Source organism: Homo sapiens, chromosome 4 (assembly GCF_000001405.40).
Source record: "Homo sapiens chromosome 4, GRCh38.p14 Primary Assembly".
NCBI lineage: Eukaryota > Metazoa > Chordata > Mammalia > Primates > Hominidae > Homo > Homo sapiens.
This window is the reverse complement of record NC_000004.12, coordinates 186,090,060-186,106,450: the sequence shown is the minus strand read 5'-3', so window position 1 is coordinate 186,106,450 and position 16,391 is coordinate 186,090,060. Positions and strand designations below refer to the sequence as shown.

Sequence of the window (16,391 nt, the reverse complement as noted above, 5' to 3'; positions counted from 1 at the left end):
TGAAAATTTACCCACTCAAGAATAGCTAACGATATGCTCCACTCTAAAAATTAAAATTCATCCTAGTTCTAAAACACATTTTAAAAGAGCAATGTTTTTATCACGACTCTTGGAAGTGAAAGGGGTGTTGTGTGGGTGTGTGTGTGTTGAGGGAATCGGCCTCCGATTCCCAGTGAAAATGTTCCCATGAAGTCAACGTTTCTGCAGTGACTCAGGGCACTGTGGAAAGCTCTCAGGAGCTCTAGGGTAATAATCAGACGTGTCCTGGCCATTACAACTCCATTTGTGTCAGATGATGTCATGCATATGTAAATTAACTAGATGTCACACAAAGGAGACCCATCCCACTTAGGATAAGACTAGGGACTGGTCCTTAGACATTAGGAAAGCACCAGGTCTCACCACTTCTTAAAACACTTGCTGCAGACGTGTGTATTCGGTTTCCCTGCACACCTGCTATATTCTGAGACAAAGAAAGGGACTTCAAAAAGTCCTTAAGAAAACCAAACAAACACTCTAAGTAGCAATGCTTCTGGTAGAAGAGAAACAAAATTCTGTCCCTTCCTTCAAGGCCCCTTAGGATTCACTCTGAGAAAGCTGGACAAAGCATGTCACAGCTTATGTCTGAAAGCCCGCAAAGCCAAGGAGTAAAAACCCAGGAAACGTGCAAGGAGGGTGCCCAGGGGGTTATGAAAGTTACTACAAATATTTCATTTCCTGAAGTGCACCTGCGAAGGTGAGTGCGGCAGGCGGAGGGGTCGGGGGTCCCGGCAAAAGGTACACGCGCCCGGACCACGCTGCTACTCACGCTTCGCCATCCCCGGAGTCGCCGTCCGAGGCCCCCTCCTCGCCGATGTCAGGCAGCGTAAGGAACAGGGTTCTGGGGCCAGCCCCGGGGGCCACGCAGGCGCCGAGCTCTCGCTCTCCGGGGCCAGGCTGGAGCGGGTTCCTGGGGAGCGCGGCCCAGACCCCGCCGGGGCCCGAGGGCGGCCGCGCTGGGACCACCAGGCGAGCAGGGGAGCAGCCCCCGCCGGAGGGAGTGGGGGGCTGGGGCGGGGCTTTACCCGCTCTAGGGCTACTGGGCCAAGAGAGCAGGGTCCCCACTGCTCCCGCGGCGCGGCTGGCGGCGGAGCCCCGGGAGTAGGGGGAGGAGAGCAGCGGGGCGGGCGACCGCCGCGAGGCGGAGGGGGAGTCCGGAGCCAGGGCGCGGAGGAGGGTCGGGGCGGTACCCAACGGGGTGCCCGCCCTGGAGCCCCCCGACCCTGCAGCGGCAGCACCTCCCGAGGGTCTGGAGGAGGGGCCTGCGGGGGGCGCCGTCGAGGTCTCGAAGAGTTTGGCCAAGAGAGACCCAAGGTCCAGCACAGCAGCCTTCATGCCTCGACAGTGGACACGCCGTCCTCGCCGCCGCCCGAGAGTTCAGACCGCGGAGATCCGGCCGAGGCGGCCCGGGCCGGGGCGAGGAGCCTGAGGTCCCCGCACCCGGAGCCCCGGAGGCCCCTGGCTCCCTCTCCTCCCCGAGGACGCTCAGCTCCGCGCCGCTGGGGTCGCCCTTCCCCGGCCCGGGTCCGTCCGCCGAGCGCCCCGGCTGCGGAGAGCAGCCCCGCCTCGTCCCAGCGCCGTGAGACCCCCGAGGGCCGAAGGGCCAGGAGCCCCGGGAAGCGCGGCCGCCGCCCGCCCCAGACGCCCGCCGCCCGCCGCCCGCCGCCCGCGGTTGCTACGTTCAACACACCCGGCCGCGCTCCAGGCTAATTGGGCCCCAGGTGCGGCTCGGGCTGTGCCCGCGGGGGACGTCCCACTCCCCGCCTGGTTCCGCCTTAAAGGAACACGCCCCCATTTCCCCTGCGCCCCGAGCCTCGCAGATCCCATCCGCCGAGCTCAGGGCCCAGGGCTGGGAAAGAGAATCCTGGCTCCAGAAGGTTCTGGAACTTACCCAGCCTGACAAGCTTGCACGTGCTGGGGTCAGGCCACCTCTCTGACGATAGGGAAGGTGGGTAGAAAGATGTATTTGGGCGAACGAGCTTGAAACAGCAGCATCCACTCCCCCACCCCAGGGTCCTACTCAAACCCTGTTACTAAGGGTGGGGTGGGAGCAACCGCGAGGTGCGCCACCCACTAACCTGCAAACAAGACCGGCTCTGAGAGCTGAAGTAGAAAGACCTACGCACACCTGTTTAAACACCTGTCGGAGTGAACCAAGAGACTGTGTAATTCAAATGTTTGAGAACTCAAATTATAATCGGAACGACTACAAATTCAAAGACAGATATGGAAGGCAACGTTTTCTATTCAGTGGAATAAATTGTATTTTGCTTAATCTGAAAAATATGTGTGAAAGGTAGAGCGTATAGGTGCGAGCATCTAAAGGGGTGTGGGGTCAGTGTTGAACAGAGTTAAAAAATAAGATACTGCAGCCAGGCTCGGTGGCTCATACCTGTAATCCCAGCACCGGGATTGGGAGGTGGGAGGATGGCTTGAGCCCAGGAGTTCCAGGCCAGCCTGGGCAACAACATAGGGAGACCCCATCTCTACAAATATTTAAAAAAAAAAAAAATGCCGGGCCTGGTGGCGCATGCCTGTAGTCCCAGGTACTCGGGAGGCTGAGGTGATCGCTTGGGCCTGGAGTGAGCCGTGATCGCACCACTGCATTCCAGCCTGGGCAGTAGAGTGAGACCCTGTGTCAAAAAAATAGTAATGAGATATTGATGGAGTTTGTCCATTAATATTCAGGAGAGGATCTCAGGAGATACATTTCCTGATGTGGGGTAGGGAAAAGAGATGAATTAAGTCTGGCAGTGAATAAACTGACATTCATGCTTATATACTTGAATCTTTTGTAAGTTATCAAACTGGAGTCTGAGCCACGGTAAACTTCCAGGTAATGCTAAGTTTTGCGTTATTTGGAGGCAGTTAACAAGTCTTCTGTCATGATCCCTTTTCTACATCTAACTGCCACCAACATGTACTGGGCACTTGTCTGCTTCAAGATTGCATTAAGCACAGACATGCAAAGAAAGAGCGGTTCTCTTCCCAGAGCATGGAATAATCTGCTTCACGTCATATGCTGAGTGTCCCGTGAGTGCCCTGGAAGACAAGCACAGGTGATGGCAGCCATCGTGGTCAACATTCGCTTGGGGACAGCAGAGCATTTGTGTGCCTAAGGGAAGTAAGAGACATGGGTGACTAGGGTGAGATTTTAAAGGCCCTTGGATGTTCGGAGAGGCGAGAGCACGCAGTCGTCAGCGTGTGAAGCACCAGCACACAGCGAAGAATCAAAATGAGAGAAAAAGGGAATTAAGAACAGACACCTCTGAGAGCAGCAATGGTAACAAGAGGGAGAGGGTTGGGGGCAAACCAGGGAAGCAGTGCCAACTCCGTCACAACGCAGAGACACCAGGAACAGGCTGCTGTTGAACCATGAACTTTTCTCGTGCTCCCTTGTTCCCCTTCTGCAGCACTCACCAGGTAGCCTCAGAAGTCTGGACGTTCCCTCCGAACACTGGACTGTTTTCATGTAGCACTCATTCAGGACTGCAAAGCAGTTTCCCACAGATTTTGTTCATCTTACAAGGATCTTATTCTGATTCATGGAGTAATTAAATCCTTAATATATCAGGTCACTTTCAATGCAAATAGAAGTTATTTCTAGAGTATGTGCTTTCAGTGAGTAAGGGGCTAGTCGCTCCATTGAATCTGAACATATGGAACTTGAAATAACAGCAAGGGAGGGCCATTGTGGAGCAAAGTTCGAGTCAGCTCACCTAGATCCTTGGGGGTAGCACTTGTTTGCTGCCAGAACTCAGGATTCCTGATATTTCAGACTCAGAAATCTGATGGGCCCAGCACCTTCACAGCTGACCAGTGTCTCTGTGTGGAGCCCCACTAATCTGACTCACAAAGCACTGATGCGGCCGGGTGCGGTGGCTCACGCCTGTAATCCCAGCACTTTGGGAGGCCGAGCGGGCGGAGGAGGTCAGGAGATCGAGACTATCCTGGCTAACACGGTGAAACCCTGTCTCTACTAAAAATACAAAAAATTAGCCGGGTGTGGTGGTGGGCGCCTGTAGTCCCAGCTACTCGGGAGGCTGAGGCAGGAGAATGGCGTGAACCTGGGAGGTGGAGCTTGCAGTGAGCCAAGATCTCGCCACTGCACTCCAGCCTGGGTGACAATGCGAGACTCCGTCTCAAAAAAAAAAAAAAAAAAAAAGCACTGATGCAGTGTTCCATCCTCTGCTCTTTCCCCATAAGAGGAATCCCTTTAGGACCAAATTAATTCCAATGGTTGTTAGGTGAGTGTGGAATCAAAGCAAAGGGAAGGAATCATATGGTTCACATACAGGGGGCATTAACCATTAGAGTCCAGCACCCTTCTCCTTCAGGAGCAACTGTTCCTGAACAGTGGTGCATTCATGCCGCTGTCTTGGGCTCTCTGGTTCTAGATCTTTCCATGTTTCCCTCAATAACCACTTCTCTTCTATGGACAAGCACTTTGGGAGGCTGAGGCAGGCAGATCACTTGAAGTCGGGAGGTCAAGACCCGCCTGACCAACATGGAGAAACCCCATCTCTACTACAAATACAAAAATTAGCTGGGTGTGGTGCCGGGTCCCTGTAATCCCAGCTACTTGGGAGGCTGAGGCAGGGGAATCGCTTGGACCCAGGAAGCGGATGTTGCGGTGAGTCAAGATCGTGCCATTGCACTCCAGCCTGGGCAAGAAGAGCGAAACTCCGTCTCAAATAATAATAATAATAATAATAATAATAATAATAATAATAATAATAAATAAAGCTAGAGAACAGCTGCATACCCTTCCAGATCCTGGCCTTGAAAGCATTCTGTCTCTAAGGTGTGTCTGCATGTGTCCCAGCTGTGGGCACATTTGAGTTGTGTGCCCCCAGAAGATGTGTTGAAGTCCCACCCCCAGTTCTTGTGAATGTGATCTTATTTGGAAATAGGATCTTCACAGATGTAATCAAGTTAAGCTGAGGTCAGTAGGATGGGTCCTTGTCCAGTACGATGCGTATACTCTTAAGAAGAGGGAGATGTGGGCACAGACACACAGGGGGAGCACCACAGGATGACAGAGGCAGAGGCTGGAGTGAAGCAGCTGCAAGCCGAAGGGTGCTCCAGGCTGATGGCCACTACCAGACGCTAAGAAGAGGCAGGGATGACTCCTCCCCTACAGGGCCCCACAAACACCTCAGTGAGGACTTCCCATTTCCAGAACTGTGAGAAAAAAAAAAATTCTGTTGTTTTAAGCCACCCAGCACTTTGTTATGGCAATCCTAGGAAAGATCCATGATTGGGGTATTAATTAATTTTGGGGTACTTCAAGATCATAGTATCTTGCTTGTACCTCTATGAAAGTCTTTAGTGGGTAAATTCACTCTAAAAAACTGGCTACAAATTGAAATGGTCATCGTAATTGTTTTAAATCTATAGGGAGAATGCAAGAATCATAAAAAGGAGATGGTGGTGGTGGGGAAGAAGTATCATCCTTGGTTACGGTAGTAGGTGTAGCATTCTGACCAGCCAGCCCCATGAAGAAGGCACACTGAAAGAATAGTGGGTCCTTTTCTTTGGAGGGCCTTCCTTTGAAAATGACCCATAATTGCAAACGTGATAAGCCATTCTTAGCAACTTGTCCAGTCCTTTGTACCCATTGTTCATCCATCAACAGCCTTTTGTAGATGCGGCCAGGCTTCTCTGTTAATTACCAGCAGCATGTCATTCTTAGAACATGGGCCTCAGGTGATGTGGTCTGGCTCAAGCAGGATCAGGCAATGAAAGTAAATACAGTAAATAGTTAATCTTTCTTTCTAATGATTTTATATAGACAATTAGAAATGTAGGGTAAGGCCAGGCGTGATGGCTCATGCCTGTAATCTCAGCACTTCGGGAGGCCGAGGCGGGCGGATTGCCTGAGGTTGGGAGTTGAAGACCAGCCTGACCAACATGTAGAAACCCTGTCTCTACTAAAAATACAAAATTAGCAGGGCGTGGTGGCACATGCCAGTAATCCCAGCTACTTGGGAGGCTGAGGCCAGAGAATTGCTTGAACCTGGGAGGCGGAGGTTGCAGTGAGCGGAGATCACGCCATTGCACTCCAACCTAGGCAACAAGAGTGAAACTCCATCTCAAAAAGAAAAGAAATGTCAGAGTAGTGCTTTATGTGATAAAATTATTCTGCTTACATTGATTAACAATTTCATTAACTGTCTTTCTGATGTGTATAATAACACTTGGCTACATCATGGAGAAAGCATTAGGAAATTATGACCATGTTGCTATGAAAAGATGTGTTTTGGAAACCTGAAAGTTAAAACAACCTGATTAATCTGTTTAAGAAGTTAAATCGCCTCAATTAGCATGACATCGGTATTTTACAAAGAAAATACTGTCAATTTTTATTATAAAAATGTCAAACTTCTGAACAATGAGAAACATTTGTTGATTCAACAAGCATTTACTAAGCACTAGAGGGAGGCATTGCAGACTAATGGACTGTGGGTCTGAACTATGTAGGCTCATGGTCTGTCTTTGCCACTAAACAACACCAAGACTTCTCTCTGTTCTATAGTTTCCTCGGCTGTAATTATCTGAATGGTGCCTTGTAAGAGTTACATTAACTAACACATGTGAAGTACTGGAACAGAGCACAGCACTTGGCAAATTCTCAGTAGATGTTAGTTTTTGTTATATATGACCCCAGGTTACATTGAATAACTAGAGAAAAATATCTAGAAGGAAATTATAGCTACATTTGCTTCCAAGTTTATTCCTTTTTGTATAATGTGAACAAAATTTGTTTGCAACAAATATGTATTTGTTTTCAGTGATAAACACAATAAATGAAAGCCTCAGTTCATGTCCTTTGTAGGGACATGGATGAAGCTGGAAACCATCATTCTCAGCAAACTATCGCAAGGACAGAAAACCAAACACTGCATGTTCTCACTCATAGGTGGGAATTGAACAATGAGAACACATGGACACAGGAAGGGGAACATCACACACCGGGGACTGTTGTGGGGTGGTGGAGGGGGGAGGGATAGCATTAGGATATATACCTAATGTTAAATAACAAGTTAATGGGTGCAGCACACCAACATGGCACATGTATACATATGTAACTAACCTGCACGTTGTGCACACGTACCCTAAAACTTAAAGTATAATAATTAAAAAAAAAAGCCTCGGGCAAATTTTCTTGCTATTTGATTGCGGGCTCAGGATTCTACTGAGGGAAAACTATTAAAATAACAATAAGAACAGTTTTAGGCTGGATGTGGTGGCAGACACCTGGAATCCCAGCTACTTGGGAGGCTGAGGCAGGAGAAGCCTGAACCTGGGAGGCGGAGGTTGCAGTCAGCCGAGATCATGCCATTGCACTCCAGCCTGGGGGACAGGAGGGAAACTGTCTCAAAAAATAAAATAAAATAACAATAAGAACAATTTTAAAGTGATCAAAGGCAGTGTTACATCACAGCGATTCCTGATGGACCATGACCCCGTTCCCCGAGTACTATAGCAGATGCAGGCGGAGGACCAGACCACGGAGGCAGGTGAGGCACATTCAGCTGCAGAGAACAGGGAAATCCCTCGCTGGCCTTAGCTTGAGCATTCAAGATGCTTAAGTAGCTCACAGGGTAGGAAGCCCACAATTCACTGCTTCTGGGATTGCTGCGGTGAATTACCCACGTCAGAGACACTCAAGCTCATTCTCTTTCAGTCACACATTGTCAGGGTGTATGGCTTGTTTCCTGGTGTTTCCAAGGTGTCACCCTCAGCACCAGCCATCTTTCTTTAAATAGCTATATCTGGCAGGGCGCGGTGGCTCACCCCTGTAATCCCAGCACTTTGGGAGGCCAAGGTGGGCGGATCACGAGGTCAGGAGTTTGAGACCAGCCTAGACAACATGGTGAAACCCCATCTCTACTAAAAATACAAAAATTAGCCGGGCATGGTGGCACATGCCTGTAATCCCAGCTACTCGGGAGGCTGAGGCAAGAGAATCGCTTGAACTCGGGAAGCGGAGGGTGCAGTGAGCCGAGATCTCACCATTGCACACCTGGGTGACAGAGCGAGACTCTGTCTCAAAAATAAATAAATAAATAGCTACATCCCAGGTAAGAAGGCGGCTCAGGTCACCCTCTCTCATTAAAGAACAAACTGCTTTCCAGAAGCCCCTCCAATTGAGTCCCATTGGCTATAACCAGGTCAAAAGTCCACAGCTGAACTAACCATCAGAAAGAGAAATAGACGGAGCAGGGTGGCTCCCGCCTTAATCCCAGCACTTTGGGAGGCCGAGGCTGACAGATGGGTCGAGCCCGGGAGTTCAAGTCCAGCCCAAATATAAAAAAATTAGCTGGGCATGGTGGCTTACGCCTGTCTTCCCAGCTCTTCCAGAGGCTGAGGTAGGAGGATCACTTAAGCCCAAGAGGTGGAGGCTGCAGTGAGCTGAGATCATGTCACTGCACTCTTCCAGCCTGGGTAACAGAGTGACACCCTGTCTAAAAATAATAATAATAATAACAATAAAGGAAAGAAAAGAAAGAGGAAGAGAGAGAGAAATAATGCTATTTTTCTAGGGCTAGAAGGGATCCCTTTCCCCGAATATGTTGCCCCCGAACAAAATTAGCACCCCTAAACCAAGAAAGGGTGCGAGGTGTGGGTGTCTGTTGGGCAGGTGACTGGCAGTGTCTGCTGTAGTTGGGAGCTCCAGTGAAGAGTCTGACTGTCCATTGTTATTAGACTAAAAGGGCAGCTACCGATTTACAGCACCTCTATGCTCTGTTAATGGAATGCATGCACGGAGCACTTCCTTCACCATTTCAAATGCTATCATTCAAGAGACGGCGAGAGACCTTCTCAAAGCCAGCCTTTGTATTTCTGGATGACATGCCAATGTTATATCATAGAGTGCTTTGGTAAGAGGCTCATAAAACACAAGAAGAACAGCGATGCACACAGACTTTAGACATATCCATTCCCCCAGAGTTTGTGTTCTCCTGCTAAGCATGTCTCTAGACTGGGGCACAATTCAGGGAGAGCAGAAGTGGAGGGAAAGGAGATTGAAGGTAGATAAAAAGAGAGAGAAGAGGGAGAGGAGGAAGATGAACAACAGAGCATGGAACTGGGGAGACTCTCCTTAAAGTTTGGAGCACACCTTATGACACCTCCTGGAAGTTATTTGAAAGTACAATACTCAAAATCCACTGTGCCAAGATTAAAAAGAAGGTCAATTTTCTAACCACAGTCCTGAGCCATCCCTTCAATACACCCTCCCAGTTTATACACTCTACAATTTTGCTCAGAAATCACCAGGGGCTCCCTAAGGAGGGAGGGTGAGGCGAGGGGCAGTGCCGTTTCCTCCCCTCTCTTCTAAGCTGGGATCTGATATTAGGACCACATACTTTAAGGCCAGACCATGACACATGAGCCAGCAGAGATGGATGACATGGGAGGAAGCTGCAGAATCACTAAGCTGCCAGGAGTGGGGTTGAACTGTGATCGAGGCAGTCTGCAGGGGCCTTCTGTTTCTCATCACTGGGTACGTAATAGGGTTTCTCTGAGGAAGGACGAGCTCACTGGACCCAGTGCTCGTCCCAGTGGAAATTGCTTGAAACCAAAACAACCTGAAGAAGAACAGCTCTTTAAACTCCCTTGCTCTGAAGAAGGGCGATTTTCAGCAAAGTAGCAGACTGGAAAAGAGGCCGCAACTGAGAACTCCCTTCAAAGTCACATGGTGGCCAAGGCAAAGCCCCGCCTCCCCCCAGGAGGTGTGCAGATCCTTGCACTGGCACGGTGGATCTCCAGGTCGCACACTTACGGGCACTCACTCTGTTCACAAGATTACGTCCTTCCTAACCAAGGCCCTTCGCACAGGGTAAAGGCCTCGCTAACAGTCATCCCAAGGTGTGTTTAGGAAGGCTTCTAGGAGAAGTGGACACCAGATCTAACCCTGCAACTGCAAGATGTAGCCAAGGAAAGGAGAGAACAGAGCAGTGAAAACAGAACCCCACAAATGGATAGAAATTTGAAAGGGTGAGGCACACTTGGAGAACTGAGAGGATTTCTCCCTGCTGTCATAGAGAGCTACAATGTTGTTCAGAGTGTATTCATTCAATAATCCTTTAATTATTCCATTGGCAAACGTTTGTGAATTCCTACTCTGTGTCAGGCACTATGTAAGTATGAGGGAATGGTCACACATGAAGCAAGAAAAAAAAGAGAACAAGATCACAAAAAAAACTTAGAATATAAACTAAGGTTTTAAGTGGGGACCTAGAACCCCACACCGTTCTTCCTGGAGTGCTGGCATGTTCTTGGAGTAGGGATTGCAGAGCTGGAGGAGGCTGGAGGGAACGCCGGAGCATCCTGTTTCTCTTGTTTGTTTTCATTCTCAGAAACAGAGCTACTGGAGATGAAATTTGCTGGTGGTAAAAGTGTATTTCCACACAATCTCATGTGCCTATTCCCTTTCTTTACCTCCTGCCACAACTTCAATCTAACATTTACTTTTCCAACAGCTTCTTCTTTGACAAATTACGATGGTCCAGTCACCCTTCTAGATAGTGGGGATACCAAGATGAGTATGATGGAGCTCTCTGTGTTCAAAGTTCTATCCTATTCCAAGGGCTCAGGACAGAGTCCGATCCTATAACAGTGTCTGCAACACAGTATGCTTTTAGACTAAGGGCATGGATAAAGTATGATGGACACCTGAGTAATGAAGCGATTCATCCTGCAAGACGGAAAGGGCAGCGCTATGAAGGACGGATTCTCACAGAGTTGGCTCTGTCCCACTGGAGAGGAGAGGAGGGGCCGCTGCTTGCAGAGGGAGGAGCAAAGAGCCACGACCGTGATGGGCGAGGACACAGAGCAGTCAGGGGTGATGGCACCAAGCATAGGAGATGTGGTAAAACAAAACCAAACAAAATCAAGCAGGGAGATAAACTCGACCCAGCTGCGAAGGGTCTTGAAGGTCACACTAGTTCAATATGTTAATGGTGGAGGGTGTCCAGGTTCTTCGCGTCTTGAACAAAGAATTGGAAAAAACACACAAACAAAGCAAGGAAGGAATGAAGGGTTTTATTGAAAATGAAAGCACGGAGCCGGGCGCAGTGCCTCATGCCTGTAATCCCAGCACTTTGGGAGGCTGAGGTGGGTGGATCGCCTGAGATCAGGAGTTCGAGACCAGCCTGGCCAACATAGTGAAACCCCGTCTCTACTAAAAATACAAAAAATTAGCTGGGCATGGTGGTAGGCGCCTGTAATCCCAGCTACTAAGGAGGCTGAGGCAAGAGAATCGCTTGAACCCGGGAGGCAGAGGTTGCAGTCAGCCGAGATCGCGCCACTGCACTCCAGCCTGAGCAACAAGAGTGAAGCTCCGTCTCAAAAAAAAAAGAAAGAAAGAAAGTACACGCCACAGTGTGGGAGCGGCCTGAGCATAGGGGCTCAAAGGCCCTGTTACATAATTTTTGGGAGTTTAAATACCCGCTAGAGGATTCCACTGGTTACTTGGGGTATGCCCTATGTAAATGGAGAGTTTGAAGTAAAGTTACAAAGTCATTTACAACATAGGCTCTGTGGAGAGGATATTTCCTGTCACAGCTGAAGTCTGAATTGGGCTTATATTCCCTGCCTCCAGACCCTATTTTTCTGCCTCAATCTGAACTTGTCCTATGTAAATAGGGGCATCTCAAGAACTTCAGTCTGTTCCTAATCGATCCCACTATCTCACTCTTCCTAAAACCCAGCTCTTCAACCCATGCTCCTTCCACCATAAAAGCATCTTTATGGCTCCTCATTTCCACTAACTCACTTCCTTGGTCTGGTATTTGAGCTTCCCCACCTCATGCGCTGGCCCATCCAAAATCTGGGGCATCCACATCTGAGGCTTGAAAAGGAGGGGAAGAAAGTGCTGCCAAAATTCTGGCTAAAGCCATTGACCAGCAGGAATGGCATTTAACTGAAGCTTTAAAAAAAATGAGTGCAGGGTGGGTTAAGTGGCTCACACCTGTAATCCCAGCACTTTGGGAGGCTGAGGTGGGAAGATCGCTTGAGGCCAGGAGTTCAAGACCAGCCTGGGCAATATAGTGAGAACTCATCTCTACTAAAAATCAAAAAAATTAGCCGGGTGTAGTGGTGTACACCTGTAGTCCTGGCTACTGGGGAGGCTGAGGTGGGAGGATCACTTGAGTCCAGGAGGTCAAGATTGCAGTGAGCCGAGATCATGCCATTGCACTCCAGCCTGAGCAACAGAGCAAGATGCTATCTCAAAAAAAAAAAATGGGTGCAAAAGTGGAGGAGAAGGCAATAAAAAACAAACTGTGACATCTAAGGTGGGCAAGGTATGAAAAGGAGAATTTCTTAGGAGGTGCTAGAACTAGAATAATTAAGTTTACCTAGAGTGTTCCCAAAATTGTGCTATGCAGAACATGCCTTTGTCACGATGCTGATAACAGTTACCACTAGAAGCGTTCTATAATCAAGTTGGTTTGGCAACTGACTCAGTAATGAAGGTTAAATAGCTTTCTTTATAGCCGGCATCTTAGTTTTTCAATATGCTGGTACGCATTGAGTATTTCTGAGAGGAGAAGGTAGTATACCATCTTTCCCACATCCCTTTGGCAGGGACCCCTTTCACGAGATGTTATCTTACAACACTAGTGAGGAACACCAGTCAATGCCTTAGATGTATGAAGCCATAGCAGGAGAGAATTTGGAACCTGGATTGGGACAGGCCAATGGAAAGCTTTGGATTCATTTTATTCCATCCTAGCAGCATGGATGAACCTGTGCTGGGAGTGGCTAACCAGAGCCTGTGAGTTCTGCTGCAAGGGAAGAAGCTGGATTTCTGAAGAAATGACAAAAGCATTCAGGAAAGAAAGAGGCAGCACCTCAGCATTATGCTGCCAAAGGCCCCGGGCCAGATGGTACCTGTGCCCACCAAGTAAAGGCTTCTCTGTCTTTTATCTCTCTCCTTCTGCGTGCTGAACCCCTCAGATCCTGGAGATGCTCAGAGCCCCAGGTAGCAGGTGAAAGAGCAGGGGGAGTGTGGAGCCAAAGGAAGTCAACACCACGCCAGTCCCGGATGCGGGCGTCCAGCAGGCTGCAGTGGGCCTCGGACAGAGAAGAGGAAATCTCCAACTGGGAAAGGGTTTGTGCTTTATTACTACAGGACGGGAGTTTTGCACCAGGATGCTGGGCCATGCTTTGTGCTATCTAAGTGTGTCTGATAAGCCCTCTAATAAGCCAGAGGCTTCAGCCAAATGGCAGGATGAAAAAAAAAGAGAGTTTTGAGGAAGAAAGAACAAGGGAGGTTTCTGATAGGACTTTACGAGTCCAGCTTGTCCAGCAGACCAGCTCCTCATGGCTCATAGGGTGGACATACCCTGCTTTGCTGCCTGGCTCCCCTCTTTGGGAAATAGCATTGACTTGTTTTGTGGGGGCCATTCCTCCTGCCATTCTCTCCATGTGGTTCTAGTGGGTGCTGCCAACCCCGGCACCCTACTCCCATGGCCACAAACGTGGACATCTATCCCCAGCTAGACCACGCAGAGGCCTGTCCTGAGGTTTTGGAAACCACACTAGGAAAGAGGTCTAGTGCCTTGTTGATGGGAAATGGCAGCCTCGGAGATCCTGGGCAAACCGTGCAAACCGATGCCGCCGTCATGCAGAGAGAGGCACACACCGCGTGGTGATGTCAGAGCCCCTTTCCAGCTCCCCTTCCGGGTTGGGCTGTCCCACAAACGTGCCTCCTTTTTGCCTAAACAACTTTGAGCTTCTGTCCCTTTCTACCAAGTACTCACTCAGATAAAAAAAAAAAAAAAAAAAGAGAGAGAGAGAGAGAGAGATCTCTGCAAGGAGCCAAGAAGATCTCCACGTGAAGGGAGTTGGGAAGGAAAACAAGGGAGCGGGCCTTGATGCGCAGGAGCAGCCGGGCACCCACGGGGCGGGTGCGGGAGCAGCCGGCCACCCACGGGGCTGGTGCGCTCCTCTCCCGTGGGACACAGACACACTCACCACATACCAGCCTCCGCAAGACTGCTCTGTACTAGAAAGCGACACGAAGCACCACCACGTCATAATTTTGTCTGAGTCCAGACAAAAATAAGGTCACTGTGCCACCCTCAAAATACCGTAAACACTCCTCTCTCAGCTCAGTGATTGCTGTTTCTTTCTTTCTTTTCTTTTTTTTCTTTCTTTCTTTCTTTTTTTTTTTGAGACGGATTTCTGCTCTTGTTGCCCAAGCTGGAGCGCAATGGCGTGATCTCGGCTCACTGCAACCTCCACCTCCCAGGTTCAAGCGATTCTCCTGCCTCAGCCTCCCGAGTAGCTGGGATTACAGGCACGTGCCACTACGCCCGGCTAATTTTTTATTTTTAGTAGAGATGGGTTTTTACTATGTTGGCCAGGCTGGTCTCCAACTCCTGACCTCAAGTGATCCACCCACCTTGGCCTCCCAAAGTGCTGGGATTACAGGCATGAACCACCACATCTGGCCAGTGATCGCTGTTTCTTTTACAGCTTTATCCCTGTTCTAGTCTCCTCTTCCTGAATTTACCCATCCTAAGCCCAAATCCTATATAATAGGATTTTTCAACCCCCTTCTTACTCAGATACCCCATGGTGTGTTTCCTTCCTCACTGCAACGACGCAACCCCAACTTCTTTAACTGCGGGTGTGTTCGTTGTCTTTGACTGGAGGACATTAACACTGTGAAAACATCCTTGTTTGTTTAAAAAAACACAAAACATTGGCTCTTCATGAAGTCATTTATTTCTCAGAATTTTTGAAGGAGACCTTATTTAAAAAAGAAAAAAATGTTTGAAGCTTTGGAAGCTTGCATTAGTGCCCAAACCAGCCGAGCTCTGTATATTTTAATTCTTGTTTCAATTTTAGAGGCAGAGCCTTGAAACCACCTTTGCAAAAATTATAGCAGAGAGAAAGCTACGACAGTGAGAGAGACCTGACCTAACCGACTCCATCTTGCTTCTGACCTCCAGGCTGCCCTTGTTCACTCCTGGGCATAGGCCGAACTGACTTTAGACAAGGACGGTAGCCCTTTCCTAAGATAAACCCCCTTCTTGCCTGGGGACCAGACTGCCTTTGTAAAACTAACAAGTCAGCCACAAGATTAGAAGTGACGGCTCTGGAATCACGCGGCCAGAGGCCACAAGATCGCTAGCCTCCTCAATTGCTCCTATGAATAACACAGCGTTATACAACCTAACATTGATGTTTGAGGTATTTTTCAGACCCTGCAGTTGATGGATCTCCTGGCACCACGCAGATCCATAAACGGGCTCACTTGGTCTTGTGGCTCCCACCCAAGAGCCGACTCAGTCCAAAAGGACAGCTTCAACTCCGCATGATTTTCTCTCTCGTCCAACCAATCAGCATTCCCCATTCTCTGTGCCACCGCCCGCCCTCATCAAATTGTTCTTTAAATTTTCCAGTCAGCTCTATCTGGGCAGCAGGCAAGATACACCCATTGGGTGGTTATAGGGTCTCATTCTGTTACCCAGGCTGGAGTGCAGTGGCATGATCATAGCTCACTGTAGCCTCAAACTCCTGGCCTCGGGCAATTCTCCCAGCTTAGCTTCCCAAGTTGCTGCAACTACAGGCTCATACCACCTCGTCAAACTAATTTCTAAATTTTTTGTAGAGACAGAGTCTTGCTGTGTTGCCCAGGCTGGTCTCAAACTTCTGGCCTCAAGCAATCCTCTCACCTTGGCCTCCCAAAATGCTGGAATTACAATGAGCCATTGCACCTGCCCTTTTAATTCTTAAGTACCTGAAAAGGCGTGGTGGGTGTTGTAGTGAAACAGGTGTAACCACCAACAAGTATCTCTCTGCTGCCCAGACAGAGCTAATTTATCAAGACAGGGGATTTGCAATAGAGAAAAGTTTAATTCATACAGACCCAGCTGAACAGAAGACTGGTGTTTTATTACTCAAATCAGTCTCCCCGAAAATTGGTAGACTAGGGTTTTTTTTTGTTTTTGTTTTCTGAGACGGAGTCTTGCTCTGTTGCCCAGGCTGGAGTGCAGTGGCACAATCTCGGCTCACTACAACCTCCGTCTCCTGGGTTCAAGCGATTCTCCTGCCTCAGCCTCCTGAGTAGCTGGGATTACAGGAGCCCACCACCACACCAAGCTAATTTTTTTGTGTTTTTAGTAGAGACAGGGTTTCACCATGTTGGGCAGGCTGGTCTCGAACTCCTGACCTCAAGTGATCCACCCGCCTCAGCCTCCCAAAGTGCTGGGATTACAGGCATGAGCCACCACACCTGGCCTTGAGACTAGGGTTTTTTAAGGATAGTTTGGTGGGTAGGGGCTGGGGAATGGGAAGTGCTGACTGGTTGGGTGGGAGATGAACTCATA

At 49.0% G+C, this 16,391-nt stretch overlaps 1 protein-coding gene across 2 annotated transcripts in view, besides 1 other annotated feature; it reads right to left on the bottom strand.

Annotated features, from left to right (window-relative positions):
• The window catches only part of FAM149A (family with sequence similarity 149 member A), a 70,634-nt gene extending 68,887 nt beyond the window's left edge, over positions 1–1,747 (bottom strand). For both annotated transcript variants that reach the window (NM_001395294.1, NM_001367768.3), the window contains exon 1: positions 809–1,747. In NM_001395294.1, coding sequence (NP_001382223.1) covers positions 809–1,374 — 566 coding nt within the window. In that variant the 5' untranslated portion in view covers positions 1,375–1,747. The remainder of the gene's footprint in view (positions 1–808) is intronic.
• Positions 1,768–1,827: a silencer, noted in NCBI's record as "silent region_15857". NCBI's record gives its function as "represses an Ori minimal core promoter by ATAC-STARR-seq in GM12878 lymphoblastoid cells {active_cell/tissue: GM12878}" and the evidence as "EXISTENCE:reporter gene assay evidence [ECO:0000049][PMID:35858748]".